The sequence below is a fragment of the Homo sapiens genome, chromosome 16 (assembly GCF_000001405.40).
Source record: "Homo sapiens chromosome 16, GRCh38.p14 Primary Assembly".
Taxonomy (NCBI): domain Eukaryota; kingdom Metazoa; phylum Chordata; class Mammalia; order Primates; family Hominidae; genus Homo; species Homo sapiens.
The window spans coordinates 33,920,603-33,938,885 of record NC_000016.10 but is presented as its reverse complement, the minus strand read 5'-3'; the positions used below and the strand labels follow the sequence as shown (position 1 = coordinate 33,938,885).

Genomic DNA, 18,283 nt, shown 5'->3' with positions numbered 1-18,283 from the left:
CCCTGCAGCTCTGGGAGAGGAGCCCCAGCCTTGGGATTCCCAAGTATTTTCATTCAGTGATCAGGACTGAACAGACAGGAATCACCATGGAGTTTGTGCTGAGCTGAGTTTTCCTTGCTGCTATTTTTAAAGGTGACTTATGGAGAGCTAGAGAGATTGAGTGTGAGTGGACATGAGTGAGAGAAACAGTGGATATGTGTGGCAGTTTCTGACCTTAGTGTCTCTGTGTTTGCAGGTGTCCAGTGTGAGGTGCAGCTGGTGGAGTCTGCCGGAGGCCTTGGTACAGCCTGGGGGGTCCCTTAGACTCTCCTGTGCAGCCTCTGGATTCACTTGCAGTAACGCCTGGATGAGCTGGGTCCGCCAGGCTCCAGGGAAGGGGCTGGAGTGGGTTGGCCGTATTAAAAGCAAAGCTAATGGTGGGACAACAGACTACGCTGCACCTGTGAAAGGCAGATTCACCATCTCAAGAGTTGATTCAAAAAACACGCTGTATCTGCAAATGAACAGCCTGAAAACCGAGGACACGGCCGTGTATTACTGTACCACAGACACAGTGAGGGGAGGTCGGTGTGAGCCCAGACAGAAACCTCCCTGCAGGGGCGCGCGGGGCAACCAGGGGGCGCTCGGGACCCACTGAGGACGGGACAGGTCCCAGGAGCTGGTGCCGGGAGAGGTTTCCTTTCTCCTCAGCTGGAAAAGTCACGTTTATCTTCGCAGGACTCTGGAGTCTTCTAGGCTGTGATATTTTGTTACTTATATTTATTATGAATTTTATCATTAATATTTAAATTTTAGTAATTATTAACATTCTACATATTATTATATTTTTAAGTATATACTTTCAAGAAATAAACATTCCTAATTGTTTGCACTGATTCTTCCAGAGTTTTATTAACATTTGTTGACATCAGCAACTACATAGCTATAGGGACAAAAATTTATACCCATAAAAAGATGTATAAATACACAGAACAATGCGTATATATGTAGGCATTTGTATTAAACATTACAATGAAATGATAAAAAAAGTTTGAAAAAAATCAAACTTAATTAACTACATTATTAACTTTTAATTATTAAATTATTACAGTAATTCATAATTGATTTCCCAGATTTTCAATTGTTTACATAAATTGGTTTCTATTGGTTCATTTAAAATAGTACATTGGTCATTTTAAAGAGCTAAGAGTAAATGTTAAATGTTGTCACAATAAAAGATAAAAATTTGAAACAATGAATGATAATTACATCAGTTATTTCTTAATTATCTTAGTTATTTCATATTGTATTCACAAACCATAACATTGCCCTTTACCATGTACATATAAACAACCATAATTTGTAAATTTGCAATAAATTTTTTATTGTAATTTTTTATATTTATCCCAGATTATAATCTTTTTCTTCACTTCCAGATCTCACTGGATTGTCTCAAGGGCCCCATCCACACCACTGAGCCCTGATGAAAGGCTCTAGGCTGTGGCCGGGAGAGGCAGTTTCTTCTTCCAGAGCACACTCTGTTTGAGGGGGAGATGTCATCTCTGCCCTTGAGGAGCCCCAGCTGATGGGGGAGCTTTTGCCCTTAGGAAGCTCTCAGTCTGATGGGGAAGACGCTGTCCCTGCCCTCAGGAGGCTCTTGGTCTGAGAGGGGAGACATAATTCATTCTCTCTGAGTGCCCTCAGTCTGATGGGGGAGACACTGTCCCTGCCCTCAGGAGGCTCCCAGTCTGATGGGGGAATATTGGCTCTGTCCTCAGGAGTCCGGTCTAAGGAGGGTGTCTCAGCCCCACTCCTGAGGGTAAGGATTCCATGGCCACAGTCTGGACAGTGGGCCAGTCACGCTTGACAGTGGGCATGTTGCCAGCAGGACCCTTTGGGATGTGTCTGAGCCTGGAGGTGAGTGGCACGGGGGCTGGCAAGGCTAGGGTGGAGGCAAGCAGGTTCCGCTGTCTGCCGCCTTCACACCTTTCTCCTTCCACATGCATAGATGAGCCCACCAGCCCCAGCACTGACCTCCAAGCCAAGCATGTCCCTGCCTTTGCTGTGGTCTCCAGTGCCATGAACTCAGCCGCTGTCCTGGGCACCAGCCCATCTTCCCCGACCTTCACCTTCACCCTCGGATGGCATTACTCGCGGGACTGCAGTGAGCGCTCCCCACACCCCCAGCCCCACCCTTTCCCTCGCTGCCCAGTCCCAGGGGTCTCTGTTAGGTCTGCTGCTGGATGTCTGGCCTCTTCCTCTGGTTTCTGCTTCTCCTGGGGCACCTTGGGAGAGTCACCTCCTGCCCCTGCCTAGAAGGGAGGGCTCTGGGAAGCCCCTGACCTGCTGCCCCGCTGACCCTGAGGCCCGATGTGGGCGGCTTTGCAGGCAGCATCAAGGCTGGCCGCCGCTCCTCCTACCTGCTGGCCATCAGCACGGAGCGCTCCAAGTCCTGCGATGATGGACTCAACACCTTCCGTGACGAGGGCCAGGTTCTGCGGTGAGGCCCTGTCTGGACATGGGGTGGGGTGGCCACAGCCACCCTGGCCAGCTGCTCTGGGGCAGGGCTTTTGGCCCTGGGGGTCCTCTATGCATGGGACAGTGTGTCTCCCCCGCTGGAAGGCTTCTGGGCTTGGGGTTTGGTGGGTGACGAGATAGTGAGGTCCCAGCTTTGCTGCCCACATCCCTCACCCTCCACCCTTGCTTCCCAGGCACCTGCCAAACCGCATACCCAGCCTGCCGTTGCTCCGGAGCTTCTTCACAGACAGGGTGGGCTGCAAGTGTGTGTGCGTGCGCAGGAGTGAGGGTGTGGGGAGAGAGGGTGTCAGGGAGGTGGGGCCACAGCCTCGGCATGGGGGTTCCTGCTCCAGCTCCCGCCTTCCCCCTCCTCCCTGCACCCCTCACCCTTGTGTCCACCGCGGGACCGGCCCTCTGCTGTGGGCCCCGACATCCCTGAATGACACCATGCAGCCCCACCCAGGGGCCCCTGTCTGGACTGCCTCTTTCCAGACCCATCCCCCATAGCCACACGACTCACTTCTCCACTGTCTTCGCAGCCTTTTAGGTCTTCCCTGAAATTCCAGTCTCCACTCCTGACATTTCATGCCTCCCTTCGCTACTCTGTTTTCCTCCTCAGCACGCCTCATGCACAATTGGTGTTTCCCTTCCTCCCTGCCTGGCTCCCCAGCTAGAATAGAAGCTCCCCGAGCTTATATTTGGGGCTTCATATGTTTCCTTCACTACCCTGAGTCAGTATTTGCATCGCATCTTGTCTTCATGGGATGGGGTCGGGGTGGACACTGGAAAGGTGTGGCCTGGACACAGGGTTGAGATTGGTGGACAGGTGGAGTTCCCAGCCTCAGGACCTGGGGAGGCAGGATCAGGCCTGTGATAGCCCTGGCTGTTTGTTTGTTTTGAGACAGAGTCTCACTCTATTGCCCAGTCTGGAGTGCAGTGGCATGATCTTGGCTCACTGCAACGTCCACCTCCTGGGTTCAAGCTATTGTCCTGCCTCAGCCTCCCGAGCAGCTGGGATTACAGGCGTGTGCCACCACACCTGGGTAATTTTTGTATTTTTAATAGAGACTGGGTTTCACCATGTTGGCCAGACTGGTCATGAACTCCTGACCTCAGGTGATCCACCCACCTCGGCCTCCCAAAGTGCTGGGATTACAGGCCTGAGCCACCGCACCTGGCCTCAAGTGATCTTCTTGCTTCGGCCCCCCAAAATGCTGGGATTACAGGCATAAGCCACCACACCTGGACATATTGTTGTTTTTAAAATCACATATATATTTTTCATGCACGATTTTTCTTTTTTTTTTTGAGATGGAGTCTCACTCTATTGCCCAGGCTGGAGTGCAGTGGCATGATCTCAGCTCACTGCAACCTCCATCTCCTGGGTTCAACCAATTCTCATGCCTCAGCCTCCCAAGTAGCTGGGATTATAGGCATGCGCCACCACACCTGACTAATTTTTGTGTTTTTAGTAGAGATGGGGTTTCACCATGTTGGCCAGGCTGATCTTGAACTCCTGACCTCAAGTGATCTGCCTGTCTCAGCCTCCCAAAGTGCTGGGATTACAGGCATGAGCCACCGTGCCCACCCCACCTTCCCCTGGCTGTTTTTGATTCTAGATGGACTGGAAAAGCCATCTTGATGTCAAGCGCTCTGTCTCATTGGTTGGTTGAACACCCCGGTGATATTGGCACCTAGCTTATTTCTTATCACTTCTTCTGCTTACTTAACTCTCCCTTGACTTGCGCCCTCTGGGTGGAGTCCTGTTGACACTGTCACTTCCTCTGTTTAACGCCTCGTGGACATGACTACCTGCTCCACTCCCTCAGCCTTTGTTGATGTTCCCACTTCCCCTGTTTATTTAACTCCTCGTTGACACGATCACTTCCTCCATTTCCTTAATTCTTCTAAGTCTATATAGTTACGGGAGGCTCCGAATTGGCTCCTCTAGCGTGGTGAGGCGTGTGGTCTGCTGACAGGTCATAGCCTTTCCTCCTTTCTGGCTTCTCCTTTATGTAGGTCTCATGACCTCAACACAAGTGGTCCAGAGAGGACAAGCAATGCCCATGAGGTCGCATGGCACATCGGGGTGTAGCACAGACATATATCAGGACTGTGCGGCCACAAGTGGTCCATGGGGTTCCTGAGATGCTGGCATTGTGGGAGCCACCCTAAATTGTCCTCTGTTGTCTCCCTGCAGTCCTTGGATAGCTGGGGCACCTCTGAAGACGCTGACGCTCCTTCTAAGCGACACTCAACCTCTGACCTCTCAGATGCGACCTTCAGCAATATCAGGAGAGAAGGCTGGTTGTATTATAAGCAGATTCTCACCAAGAAGGGGAAGGTAAGATGGGTGGAGGAATGAGGTGGAAGCTGGCTCCAGCAGAACCCTCCAGCCTCTCCTAGGCCTACCCTGACAGCCTCTGGAGCCAGAGAGAACCAGTGTAGGTTGTTGCATGAAGGATGGAGGATAGATGCTAGGAAGAACTTCCTGGCAGGGGGATTTAAAGAACTTATGTAAAAGAAGTTAACAAGAGAGGTGGATTTTGCTGTGGGATGGATCTGATCGAGTCGTGCTTGGAATTCTGGCAAAACCATCCCACAGTGGCCCTGGCTTGACAGGCCATCCTGAAGATGGCCGCTGGGGCTCATGGAAAACAAGGAACAAGGCCGGGGTGATTTCCGTAGGAGAGTTAAGGCCCAAGAAGATGCAGGCAAGCCAGCAAAGGGCTTAGTGTTCATCCTAAGGGCAACCAAAAGCTCTCGGGGGCTCTTGCCAAGGGAGTTACAGCTTTAAAATATTCATTTGGCTCCCTGGGAGTGAGTTAGGGAGGGGCCACGCTGGAGGCAAGAAGACCAGTTAGAGCCACCATGGAGATCCAGGTGAGAGGCAAAGGGGGCTTCGGGTAGTACTTGGGGAGGGCCTGGGAGGGAACCAGCAGGACTCTGAGAGGAGAAGGGCAGAGCCCCTGGATCCATGGGGTGCAAATCCTGGCCCCAGGCTGCGCTGTGGGCTGGAGAAGTGGGAGGAGAGACCACTGCCTTCCCTCCCGGCAATTAGGATGAACCCGGGTTTGACTCTTGACTACATCACCCATTGCTCTGAGAGCCTGGGTGACTCACCTGGCCATGACTCAGTGTCCTCGTCTGTAAATGGAGCTAACAGTAATCCCTAGCTCATAAGCCTATTGCTAAGGATTAAATGAGATGATCTAAGTAAAGGGTTTACCCAGTGCCCAGCACTTGAAACTGCTGTACTTCTGCTTACTGCTATTTGTTTTCTTTTTTTGAGATGGAGTCTCACTCTGTTGCCCAGGCTGGAGGGCAGTGGCGCGATCTCAGCTCACTACAACCTCTACCTCCTGGGTTCAAGCAATTCTCCAGCCTCAGCCTCCTGGGTAGATGGGACTACAGGCACTCACCACCAAACCCAATTAAATTTTTTTTTTGTATTTTTTTAGTAGAGACGGAGTTTCACCATGTTGTTCAGGCTGGTCTCAAACTCCTGACCTCAAATGATCTGTCTGCCTTGGCCTCCCAAAGTGCTGGGATTACAGGCGTGAGCCACTGTGCCCAGCCCACTTACTGCTATTTGAATTTTTTGCCCTGCCTTCTGGGGTCTTGGGGGTCCCTGGAAAGAACATAAGCTTTGAAGCAGACAGACTTCGAGTTCCTATCCAGCCACATATCAAGCACATGGCTTTGGGCACCCCACTTACCTTCCCCGAGCCTCACTTTCTGATCTGTACGATGGGAACAATGTTATCCTACCCCAAGGGCTGCTGTGGATTAAGTGAGGGTGAAGTTGAGGCGGGACTGATGCGCCTCCGTGGAGAATGACTAAGGCCTCCCTGCTCGGGAGCCTCTGTGGAGGTTCTGGGGAGTTAGTGGTGAGGGAGCCAGGGCAGCCCTGCCCTCCTGGGGCTCCTGTTGCTCCTGTTGAGCAGAGAGAACGCATGTGGCATCATGGTTCCAAGTGCACAGACTGCCGTGACGCCCGGGTGCAGGGGCAGGTGGGCGTGGGTAGGGAGGTATCCAGAGGCTGAGACACGAAAGGATGAGAAGCCACAAAACTGGGAGACAGTGGAGGGGCCTGACAGGGAGGATGTCTCCTTAGAGGGTCCTGGGGAAAGGTGGGGAGAGGTGTGCTGGGAGCCAGGGCGAGAGGTGGAAGATGAGCTGGGTAATTGGGTGCCTGCCCAGAGTGTGGGGCCTTCATACCCAGAAAGAGCCTGTCCAGGGTTTTATTATTTTATTTTATTTTATTTTTTTATTTTATTTTATTTTATTTTATTTTATTTTATTTTATTTTATTTTATTTTATTTTATTTTATTTTATCTATTTTTGAGATGGAGTTTCACTCTGTTGCCCAGGCTGGAGTGCAGTGGTATGATCTCAGCTCACTGCAACCTCCGCCCCCCGGGTTCAAGCAATTCTCGAGCCTCAGCCTCCTGGGTAGCTAGGACTACAGGCGCCTGCTACCACACCCAGCTAATTTTTGTAGTTTTAGTAGAGACTGGGTTTCACTATGTTGGCCAGGCTGGTCTCGAACTCCTGACCTCAAGTGATCTGCCTGCCTTGGCCTCCCAAAGCGCTTGGATTACAGGCGTGAGCCACCGTGCCCGGCTCTGTCCAGGGTTTTAAATGTGGGCTGGGGCTGGCAGGAGACTGGGGTTATGTCTGTGACAGGAGGAGCCAATCCCATTGCTCTTGTCCAGGTGAGTGAGGGTGGGGGCCCCGACCCAAGGCAGTGGTGTGGGGCTGGGTGGAGCGGACACTTTAGAGAGAGATTCCATGGGAAGGACGGCCAGGGCTTGCCGGCTGCTGGGAGGTATGGAAGGAGGAGGAGGCGATAAGGTTCCTGGATTCCTGGCTTGGGCTGAGGGAGGGTGGTGGGTGGTGGGACCCTCCCTGGGCCATGGCACACTGGAGGAGCAGGTTTGGGGAGAGGAAGCCAAGTGGCTCCACTTGGGCTATGTGAGTCTGAGGGCCCTGGGACAGACCCCAGTGGAGATGTCCTGGGGACAGAGGCTCTGAGGGCGTATTACTAGAGGGAGGCCCACCTGGGGACGGCCTTTGTCTGTCAGCACCCACGAGTTACATATGCCTCTGTGCAGGGGCTTGAAGGAAGAAGGCAAGAGACCTGGCTGAGCCTTGAGAGAAGTGGGGGGGCCGGGGAGGCCAACAGAGACCAAAAAGAGCCAGCAAGTTGGCAGCGACCCGTGGGGTGGGAGCCATGAGGCAAGGAGGGACCAGCCACGTGCACTGTGCGAGGAGAGCCGCAAGTGGGCCAGCCCTTCCAGTCTAACGTGTGAGCCACATGAAGGGTCCTTGTGAGGGTGGCTGGCTCCCCCTGCTGGGGAGCCTGACCCTCAGCTCCTGGGGGCCCTGAGCCCAGTTCAGGGACAGGAGCTGTCCCCTTCCTGCTCACTGGCCAGTTCTGGAGGACCAGGCCTCCACTCCCTTGCTGGCCAAAACCCGATGTCACTTGTTCCTTTGGTGCTGTGGCCTGGACGTTAGAGGAGAGTCTTCAAGTCAGCCTCAGGCCCTTGGTCCACCCAGGCCGTGGGCACCCTCTCTGTGCTCCCTCCCAGCCCCAGCCTCTTTCAGAGACATGGACTGTCAGGCAGAGGAGGGAAAGGGACAGTGACTTGTCCCCTCAGCCTCAGCCCCAGCATGGGAGCTGCATGCAGCCTTGGTGACCAACTCCCTCACTCATTTACCAGCCGGAGACACTGAGGCCTGGGAGTGCGGTTGACTTGTCCTAGGTCATGCCGCTGGTTTAGCCTCAGAGAGGTGCCCTTGTCACCACCTCACTGTCACATTAAAATTCTCCCTGGAGGGCTCTGCTGTCTCCTACTCTGAATGTCCCTGTCCCCCTCCAGCAGTTCTGTGATGAGCAGGGCTCACAGCTCAGGATCCACATGATGGGAGGCCAGATGTGGGCTGTGCCCATCTGCCAGCCACGGGACCTCTTTGTCTGGTTTGTTCTGAGAGCTGAGGCCTGTGCTGGATGTGGAGCCACCAGCCAGCAGAGAGGAGCTCTTGGTCTGATGGGAGATGGAGCTCCTGCCCTCAGGGTGCTCCAAGGATCATTAATTCATTTATTCAGCAAATATTGATGAGCGCTTGCATGCTGCTGTAGGCCCTGGGATATGGAAATGAGAGGACGGACAAGCTCCCTGTCCCCAGGACAGCCTGAGGCTGCAGTAAGTTCTTGGAAAGGATCAAGCTGATCAGAAGCGGGAGCTGCATTGAGGGAAAAATATGGCCAGAGAAGGCCTCGCTGAGGAGGTGACATTGGTGATGCTGGAGTTCAGATCTGAAGGGGAAGAAGGAAGCAGCCACATATAGAAGTGAGGGAGGGGGGCTTAGGCAGAAGGAACAGCAAGCGGAGAGGCCCTGAGAAAAGAAAGGCTTGGCTCGCTCACCTGCAAGGGCCCCCTGGCTTGACATAGTGAGAAAGGTGTGAAGATGAATTTGGAGAAAGGCAGGTACAGACCACAGGAGACTTTAGATTTGATTCTGAGGGCGATGGGATCTCTTGAGAGGATGCTGAGCATGGGAGAGATGTGATCTCCTTTTCATTCTAACATGATCGCTGCAGCTGCTGCTGGAGAATGGATGCAGGAGCAAGAGTAGAGACTGGGAAGGTCTGTGCATCCTCCAAGCAAGAGGCGTTGATGGCATGGAAAGATGTCTTTCCTCTGGCAGGAAAGACAGAGACAGGGGATGTTTTGGAGGCAGAACAGTTGTGACTTCCTGATGGATGGGATGTCAAGGGCGAGGAAAAGGGAGGAGTCAAGGGCAGCTCCCAGGTTTCTGGACAACTGGATGGATTGACTGAGCTGGAAAAGATGGGGGTAGAGAGTGGAGAAGAGGTTTGATGGTAAGAAATCACATGGCCTGGCAAGTATTGTGCAAAGTGCCCATGGGACCTGCAAATGAAGACACTGAGCAGGGTGGGGGTGCCGGGCTGTGGCTGGGGGAGATGCTGGGCTCGGGAATGGCCATCAGCAGGTGGACCTGGTTTAAAGGCATGGCACAGGTGACATCCTTGAGGGAGGTGTGCAGGGAGAGGAGAGGAGGGGAGAGTCAGGGCGAAGTTCTGGAGCTCCGCCTCCTTTAGGGCGGGGTCTGTTACCCTCTGCTCTGCTGACATTTTGAGCCAGATAATTCCTTGTTGGGGGAGGCTGTCCTGTGCATTGCGCAATGTTTAGCCGCATCCCTCAGATGCCATAGCACACCCTCCAGCTCCCTCCACACAAATGTCCCGTGGTGACGAGTCTCCTGGCTGTTTAACTACAGGTGTAGAGGGTGGGGGAGGGGAAGCAGAGAAGACTAGGAAGGAGCCAGTGGCATTAGGAAGAAAGCCGGGAACGTGGGGTCTCAGGTGCCGAGATGGGGTCTGGAGAGGGAAGGAGGGGCTGGCTGTGTCAGATGCCGCCAAGGGGTTAAGGCAAGTTGGGGAGAAGCAGCCATTGGCTTTGGCCACATGGCGGTTCTGGGTGTCCCTGAGAGGAGCTTCTGGGCAAGTGGAGTCTTGGGTGGGCGGCAGGAAAGTGGGGAGAACGACTCTCTAAGAGTGCGGACAGCTTCTGAGCAGGTTTGCTGGGGTGAGGGGCAGCCTGGGGAGGGGCGTGGGCTGGGAATGGCTTCCCGAGGATTTCATGTACGGAGGGCCATGCTGGGTGTCTGAGCATTGCCACCGCTCGGTGAGTGTTGATGCTGGTGTTTAGAGGGGGAGAGGGTTGGGGTCTGCTGGCGGGCTTTAGGGTGATGGGTAGGGGTGTCTAGGCAGGCGAGGGACTGAGAAAGCATTGGTGGGCTGTGGGCAGGAGGCTGCCCAGGTCTAGCCGGGTGGAGCAGGCGGCTCCTGGTAGGCAGCGTGGGGTCCATCCCCCGGCTGTCCTCTGTCTGCTACTGTGAGAGCAGTGGGCAGAACTGACCTCTCACCACTCCTGTTTCCCCCAACCCCGTGTCTCCCTGCAGAAAGCGGGCAGCGGCCTGCGCCAGTGGAAGCGGGTGTACGCCGCGCTGCTGGCGCGCTCGCTCTCGCTGAGCAAGGAGCAGCGGGAGCCCGGGCCGGCGGCGGCGGGGGCTGTGGGGGCCGGCGCAGGTGAGGACAAGGCGGCGCCCGTCTGCATCGGCTCCTGCCTCGTGGACATCTACAGCGAGACCAAGAGGAGGCACGTGTTCCGGCTGACCACCGCTGACTTCTGTGAATATCTCTTTCAGGCTGAGGACCGGGATGACATGCTGGGGGGATCAGAGCGATCTGGGAGAACAGCAGGGCCGAGGGCGAGGTGAGGGCCCGGCCAGCCCGGCGGCCACAGAGGGCGGGCGGGGTGGCCTCTCACCGGCTGTGGACCTGGGATGTCCGCTCTGAGCCTCACTTCCCTCTGCTAGAAAGGGGGGCTGACAGGAGTGCACCTCGTGATTGTGTCCCCCTAGGTTTCGGGGTGACAAGGGTGCAAGGGCAGGGCTCATGGAGGACCTGGCGTCCTCGGGTGCGGGGACCAGCAGTCACCATCCTGACCCTAATGATGACAGGGATTATTGTGACTGTGTTAGGATCGCCATGAGCAGGCTCTGATGTGGAGTGGTCAGCTCCAGGCCAGTCTCAGCTTTTCTCAGCAGGCGAGGAAGGCAGGGGCCTCCTATGGAGTGTGTTAGGGCATGAGTGTCCCCACACCAGAACTGCACTGGGCTGGCCTGACTGCAGGAGGATGAACACATTGACCTTGTGAGGAGGCTGAGAGGCTTGGCCTTTGGCCACAGGTGGGCAGGGTTGGAGCCAAGGGCCTCGGCAGGGACTTTGGGAGAATTTTTTTTTTTTTTTGAGACAGAGTCTCGCTCTGCTGCCCAGGCTGGAGTGCAGTGGCGCAATCTCAGCTCACTGCAACCTCCGCCTCCCAGGTTCAAGTGATTCTCCTGCCTTAGCCTCCTGAGTAGCTGAGACTATAGGCACATGCCACCATGCCTGGCTAATTTTTTTTTAATAGAGACGGGGTTTCACTGTGTTAGCCAGGATGGTCTTGATCTCCTGACCTCATGATCCTCCCACCTCAGCCTCCCAAAGTGCTGGGATTACAGGTGTGAGCCACTGCGCCCAGCCGAAGAATTTTTTTTAATGGCGCCCATTGCGGTCAGCCGTAGCTACACTCCAGGGGCCTAGGTAGGGATTCCTCCCTGTTTACTTCTTTGGCCAGGAGCCTGCACAGAAGTGCCTTGAGACACCCACACAAAGTCATGTGGGCATCCCGGGCCTGGGGTCTCTGCCAAGAGGGCAGTGGGCCTGGGCCTGCTCTGGCCGTGGGAGGGGGCGCTAGTGCATGGCCTCTTGCTGAGGACACATCCTCTCGCTGACCAGGCTCTGCTCTCCCGGGAACAGCTTTCCCCACTGCAGGGAGGAAGGCACCTGGAATTTGGGCCTCCTCCTCTGGGGGCCTGGCTTGGCTGTCTCCAACAAGGCTTAGTCAGGGGGGTTCCAAGTCACATCACTATGGCAGTAGCAGTCCCTCCTGGGGCACCTCCTCCATGCCTGCTCAGCATCTGCCAGGAAAGTGGCGAGTGCTGCATGATTCTGCACCCAGCCCCGAGCCTTCCCTTTTAGCCCCCCATGTTTATTACCGAGGAGACTGAGGCTCAGAGAGCCTAAGAGGCTTCCCCAAGGCCTCAGCTGGTGAGAGGGTGCTGGGGAGTCCAGGCCTGGTCTTTCTCACTCCAGGGTCTGGGCTGTCCACCTGGCAGGTGGACAAGAGGGGAAGCAGGGCTAGGGATGAACCCAGGGGTGGGCTGGCTGTGGGCACTGACATGATCCGCTCTCTCCTCTCCTGCTTCAGGACCCCGGCTGTGCCAACCAAGCTCTGATCAGCAAGAAGCTTAATGATTATCGCAAAGTGAGGTGAGGCCTAGCCCTCATGGAGCAGTCTCCTCTGTGGGGGTGGTAGGGGGCTGAAGGCAGAGGATGTCTTCCTGGACCACCTCCAGGGCTGCCCTCTGCTGGGGAAAGGGGTATCCAGGGTATCCAGGGTCTCCAGGCTGCAGTTTGGCATGGAGGCATTGCCTCAGGGTGGAGGGGATGTCCCGAGGGGCAGGAGGCCAGGGTGGGTGGCCTGCTTGGCCACCCCAAGTGAAGACCTCTCCTCTCCCCCTTTTTCCTACACAGCCATAGCTCTGGGCCCAAAGCTGATTCCTCCCCCAAAGGCTCTCGCGGCCTGGGGGGCCTCAAGTCTGAGTTCCTCAAGCAGAGTGCGGCACGTGGCCTCAGGACTCAGGACCTGCCCGCAGGGAGCAAAGGTAGGAAGGTGGCCACTGAGACAGGGTGGTGTGTTGGGGAAGAGGGCATGGAGAGGGGAGAGCATGTGTGTGTGTGTTGGGCTGTGTCTGCTCGTGTGTGCCTGACTGTGTGCCAGGGTTACCGGTATGTCTGTCTGCATGTGCATGCCTGTGAGGGTCTGGGGGCTCTCAGGGTCTTGGGGTGGAAGGGCCTGGAGCCTGATTCCCCTCCCTGACATCCCTGCTGGGTGGTCCTCTAATCTTTGCTGGTGTCTCCGCAGGGATGAGAGGCCCACCCTTTCCAAGAGCAACCTTTCCCATTTCCCTCACCTTTGGCTATTAGAAAGTTCTTACCTGGCTGGGCAAGGTGGCTCACACCTGTAATCCCAGCACTTTGGGAGGCCAAGACAGGCAGATCACCTGAGGTCAGGAGTTCAAGACCAGCCTGACCAGCATGGCGAAACCCCAACTCTACTAAAAATACAAAAGGCCGGGCACGGTGGCTCACGCCTGTAATCCCAGCACTTTGGGAGGCCGAGGCGGGTGGATCACAAGGTCAGGAGATCGAGACCATCCTGGCTAACACGGTGAAACCCCATCTCTACTAAAAAACACAAAAAATTAGCTGGGCGTGGTGGCAGGCACCTGTAGTCCCAGCTACTCAGGAGGCTGAGGCAGGAGAATGGCATGAACCTGGGAGGCAGAGCTTGCATTGAGCCAAGATTGCGCCACTGCACTCTAGCCTGGGTGACGGAGCAAGACTCCGTCTCAAAAAAAAAATACAATAAAAGTACCCGGGCGTGGTGGTGTGCGCCTGTAATCCCAACTACTTGGGAGGTTGAGACACGAGAATCACTTGAGCCTGGGAGGTGGAGGTTGCAGTGAGCCGAGACCACACCACTGCACTTCAGCCTGGGTGACAGAGTGAGACCCTGTCTCAAAAAAAATAAAATAAATAAATAAATAAAAGAAAGTTGTTCCCTTGGGCCAGCAGGCATGGTGGCTGACACCTATAATCCCAGCATCATTTTGGGAGGCTGAGGCTGGAGGATTGCTTGAGGCCAGGAGTTTGAGACCAGCCTGGGTAACATAGCAAAGTCCTATCCCTACAAAATATTTTTTTATATATTATTTATTTATTTAGAGACAGAGTCTTGTTCTGTCACTCAGGCTGGAGTGCAATGGCATGATCTCAACTCATCGCAACCTCCACCTCTTGGGTTAAAGCGATTCTTGTGCCTCAGCCCCCTTAGTAACTGGGATTACAGGCATGCGCCACCCCGCCCGGCTAATTTTTTTTTTTTTTTTTGAGACGGAGTCTTGCTCTGTTGCCCAGGCTGGAGTGCAGTGGTGTGATCTCGGCTCACTGAAAGCTCTGCCTCCTGGGTTCGCACCGTTCTCCTGCCTCAGCCTCCTGAGTAGCTGGGACTACAGGTGCCCGACACCACATCTGGCTAATTTTTTTGTATTTTTAGCAGAGACGGGGTTTCACCGTGTTAGCCAGGATGGTCTCGATCTCCTGACCTTGTGATCCGCCCGCCTCAGCCTCCCATAGTGCTGGGATTACAGGCGTAAGCCACTGCACCCGGCCCACGCCCAGCTAATTTTTGTATGTTTAGTAGAGACAGGGTTTTGCCATGTTGGCCAGCTGGTCTCGAACTCCTGGCCTCATGTGGTCCTGCCAGCCTCAGCTTCCCAAAGTGCTGGGATTACAAGCATAAGCCACTGTGCCTGGCAAAAAAATTTTTTTTAATTAGCCAGGTGTGGTGGTATGAGCTTATAGTCCCAGCCACTCGGGAGGCTGGGGAGGGAAGATTGCTTGAGCCCAGGAATTTGAGGCTGCATTGAGCTATGATCATACCACTGCACTACAGCCTGAGCGACAGAGACCCTGTCTCTAAAGAAACAAAGTTCTATGGCTTCCGCCTTGTAGTTTTGGCCCACGAGCCACACAGAAGTCCTTGCATTGCTCTGGGCCTCTCCTTTGGGGTAAGCATCCTCCCCTTCAGGCCTTCTCTCTTGCCATACAATGTCCCATCAGCCCTGGGCATCTGGTTTCTTCTCTGATGGAATCCCCATACATCCAAATGTGTGAATGTGGCAGTGAATGTGTGCGACCCTCCTGGATACTCCAGCTCACTCTGGCTCTGTCTCCCCCACTTCAGATGACAGTGCTGCAGCCCCCAAAACCCCCTGGGGCATCAACATCATCAAGAAAAATAAGAAGGCTGCCCCAAGGGCATTTGGGGTCAGGCTGGAGGAGTGCCAGCCAGCCACGGAGAACCAGGTGGGTCTCTGCCACACGCCAGAGCAGGCCCGGCAGGGGGAGACCAAGGCACAGAGGGTCAGAGCAGCAAGGGACATGGAACAAGCTCTCCACCTCATTGTACAAACACAGCTGGGAAAACAGCCCAGAGAGGGGAGGCCTGCCCTGGGCCTCCCAGGGAGGGAGCAGCCGGGCTGAGGCTGAGCCCGGCTCCTTCTCAGACCATGGCGAGGCTTTGGTGTCATTTGTAGCTCCCAGACTGGAGGCAGCAAAGGCCTTTTGTTCCCCCCAAGGGTTCCTGGCAGCAGCTCTGGGCCTTGCATTGTCCCCTTCTTGGCCTCCCCAGCTCCTCTGGCCCCTGTCCCCCCTAACACCCCTCCCCTGTGTCCCCAGCATGTCCCCTTAATCGTGGCTGCATGCTGTCACATTGTGGAGGCACGAGGGCTGGAGTCCACAGGCTTTTACCGAGTGCCTGGCAACAATGCAGTGGTGTCCAGCCTACAGGAGCAGCTCAATCCTGGGCCTGGTGACATCAACCAGCAGGATGAGGTGGGTGAAGCTGGGGGGTCTGTGGAAGGGGGGCTGAGATGGTGTGTGGGTGGTGCTCCGCTTGGAGAGTTCTGTAGTCTATTGTGTTGCATGCATTGTGCCCTATGACATGTCCGGCATTGGTCCAGGACACCAAGATGGGCAAGATGGGACCTGCCCCCGCTGGCCAGCCCGGGGATGGGCATCACCCCAGGCTGAAGCTGACCAAGTAAATGCAGTCATGGCCTGGGGAGCTCTGAGGCAGAGGCTCACAAACGGCAGTTTTGTCCGAGTGTTTAGGATGAGTAGAGTTCACCAAAGGCCGATGAAAGCCAGGTGAGGGCATTCCAGGCAGCAGAATGGGCTGCGCAATGGTGTAGGCGCGAAAAGTGTGCCAGGAGTCAACCAGCTTTCTCTGTAGAAGGCAGAGAGTAAATATTTTCTGCTGTAGTTTTCTCTGTTGCATTCCCCCCTTCTCTTCCTCCTCCTTCTCTTCCTAATCCTTTAACAACATAAAAATCATACTTAGCTCAAGGGCCATCCAAAAGAAGGCTTGGCTAGATATTGCCTACAGATCAAGTTTTACAAACTGCCGGCTTAGAAAAAGGGGAATATATGATGTTTTCTAGAATGGCCAGCCATTTGGGTGGCTGCAACATGGAAAGAGAAGTGGCTGATCAGGCGAGATGAGACCAGCCTGTGAAGGAATCTGCAATCACACTTAAGTGTTTCCAGTAGGGCCGGCGATTCTCAAAGGGTGTTCCCCAGAGTCCTGGGGTTCCCCAGAGGGGCCTTGGGAGGCCAGGGTCAGGTCAGGACCCCGTGTCCTTGCTAGAGCAACCCTGCTTTGCCCTGTCTGTTGTACTGGGTTTTCACGTACAATTTTATTTGCCCAAAGGGGCTCTGATAAAAAAGATATTTTGGAAAACCATGAACATGGGCAGTGATGTCCCATGAGTCACACACGTGAAGGCTCATGGAATACACAAGTCTTCCTGTCCTTGGAGAATGAGGAGCTGAGACAAGTGTGTGTGAAATTGTGGACAGGAGAAAAAGATGATCTCTCATCAGGGACCACACTGTGATGAGGAAGGACAGGGTGCTCAGGCTGGAGCAGGTGGTGGCTGGAGGATTTGAGTATTGGAGGAATGAATAGGAGGGGGTAGGTGGACAGGAAGCCTTTCGGGGTGTGAGACGATGGCATTTTCCAAAACCCCAGCAAGGGCCAGGGAGGGCTTGAGGGTTAGGACAGAGAGTGGATCTACCTCCTGGGCATGAAGGTGGGGAGGGTGAGGCCCCAGGGGGACAGAGAGGGCATTTGATGGCTTCACTGAAGACTTCGACCTTGATCTGATGGACAGTAGGGAGCTTTTGATGCTTCTTAAGCTGGGGAGGCATCGTGAGTACAAAGTTCAAGAAAGAGTAATGCTCCTGCTCATGTCCATTGGATACGAATGCGGAGGGCAGGGGTCTGGGGAGAAGTCACTGATCTATGGAAGTGCTAAGTGTTGGGAGGACTTGGTGGTCCCGGGGGAAGGGGGAGGATGGGAGCAACCCTAAGAGTTGGCTGCATGAGAAGGAGGAAGGAGGGGCGAGGAAGAGCCGCATGTTTGAGCTGGGGCTGGTGGTATCTTCCCCTGGCAGAAACCAGGGAGTAGGGCAGCGTGAGGAGAGGTGGAAGGGAGGGGCCGTCTCAGGGAGTGGCTCCATTGGATTTGGGGTATGGAAAGTCCCTTGCATGGGGCGAGGGCATAAACAGGCGCTAGATTGAGCGTGGACTAGAGAGTGGCATGGGTCCTGCTGCAGCTGGGGCATGGGATGACCAAGGGTGGGCCGCAGAACAGCAGGGGCCACGCGCTGAGTGGGACAGAAGGAGAGGACCGCCGGTGAGGCTGGGGTGAGGGCAGACACTTCACTCTGGAGGAGCCAGGAAGCACTGGCCAGGGCATTGGGTTTGGCAGCTGGGAGATGAGAGGAGCTCACACCTGAGGGCCAGGAGGTAACGGAGTCGGGTGGGCAGGAGCCGCACTGGGTGTGTGTGAGATGAGGGGGCCGTGCTGGCAGGCAACTGGTCCAAGCCAGGGCCAGCTGGGGGCATACAAGGTATATTGGGTGTGTTGTTTTGTCTTGGATATCATTGTGTCATTTGTTGTGGGTCGTGCTGGGAGTAAGTGTAGTGGGGGATGAATCTAACCCCTGGTGAGCCTGTGCGGAGTGTATTGTTTATGGGATTGTCTGGCATTAAGCTGTGGATCCATTGTAATGAGTGTGTGTACTGCTGTGCTGTGTCTCTTTGTTGGGGGTATTAGGTCGCTTTCTGGGCCTGAGTTATTGTGAGCCATTCCCAGCGAGGCGGCTGTGCCCGACTTGGTTGCAATGTGGGGTGATGCTGCCCCCTGGAGGACAGAAGGGACAACGACCCGGCAGTTAGTTCTTGTACTCAACAACCATTTATTTTAGAGTAGGGTTTCTCAACCTCAGTGGACATTTTGGGAAGAACAATTATTTGTTGTGTGGGGTTGCCCTGTGCACTGGAGGAAATTTGGAATCATCCCTGGCCTCGATCCACTAGATGCAAGTGTCACCTCCCAGTTGGGAAAATCAAAATGGCTCCAGACATTGTCAAATGTCCTCTGGGGGTGGAGTGGGAGTTTGGGGGACAAAATTGCCTCCTTCTGTTAGAACTACTGATTTAGGGCCATGTAAGTATC

General features: G+C 54.7%; 2 pseudogenes; both read left to right on the top strand.

Moving 5' to 3' along the window:
- On the top strand, positions 247-547 carry IGHV3OR16-7 (immunoglobulin heavy variable 3/OR16-7 (pseudogene); annotated as a pseudogene).
- ARHGAP23P1 (Rho GTPase activating protein 23 pseudogene 1) overlaps positions 1,969-18,283 on the top strand; it is a 31,487-nt pseudogene continuing 15,172 nt past the window's right edge.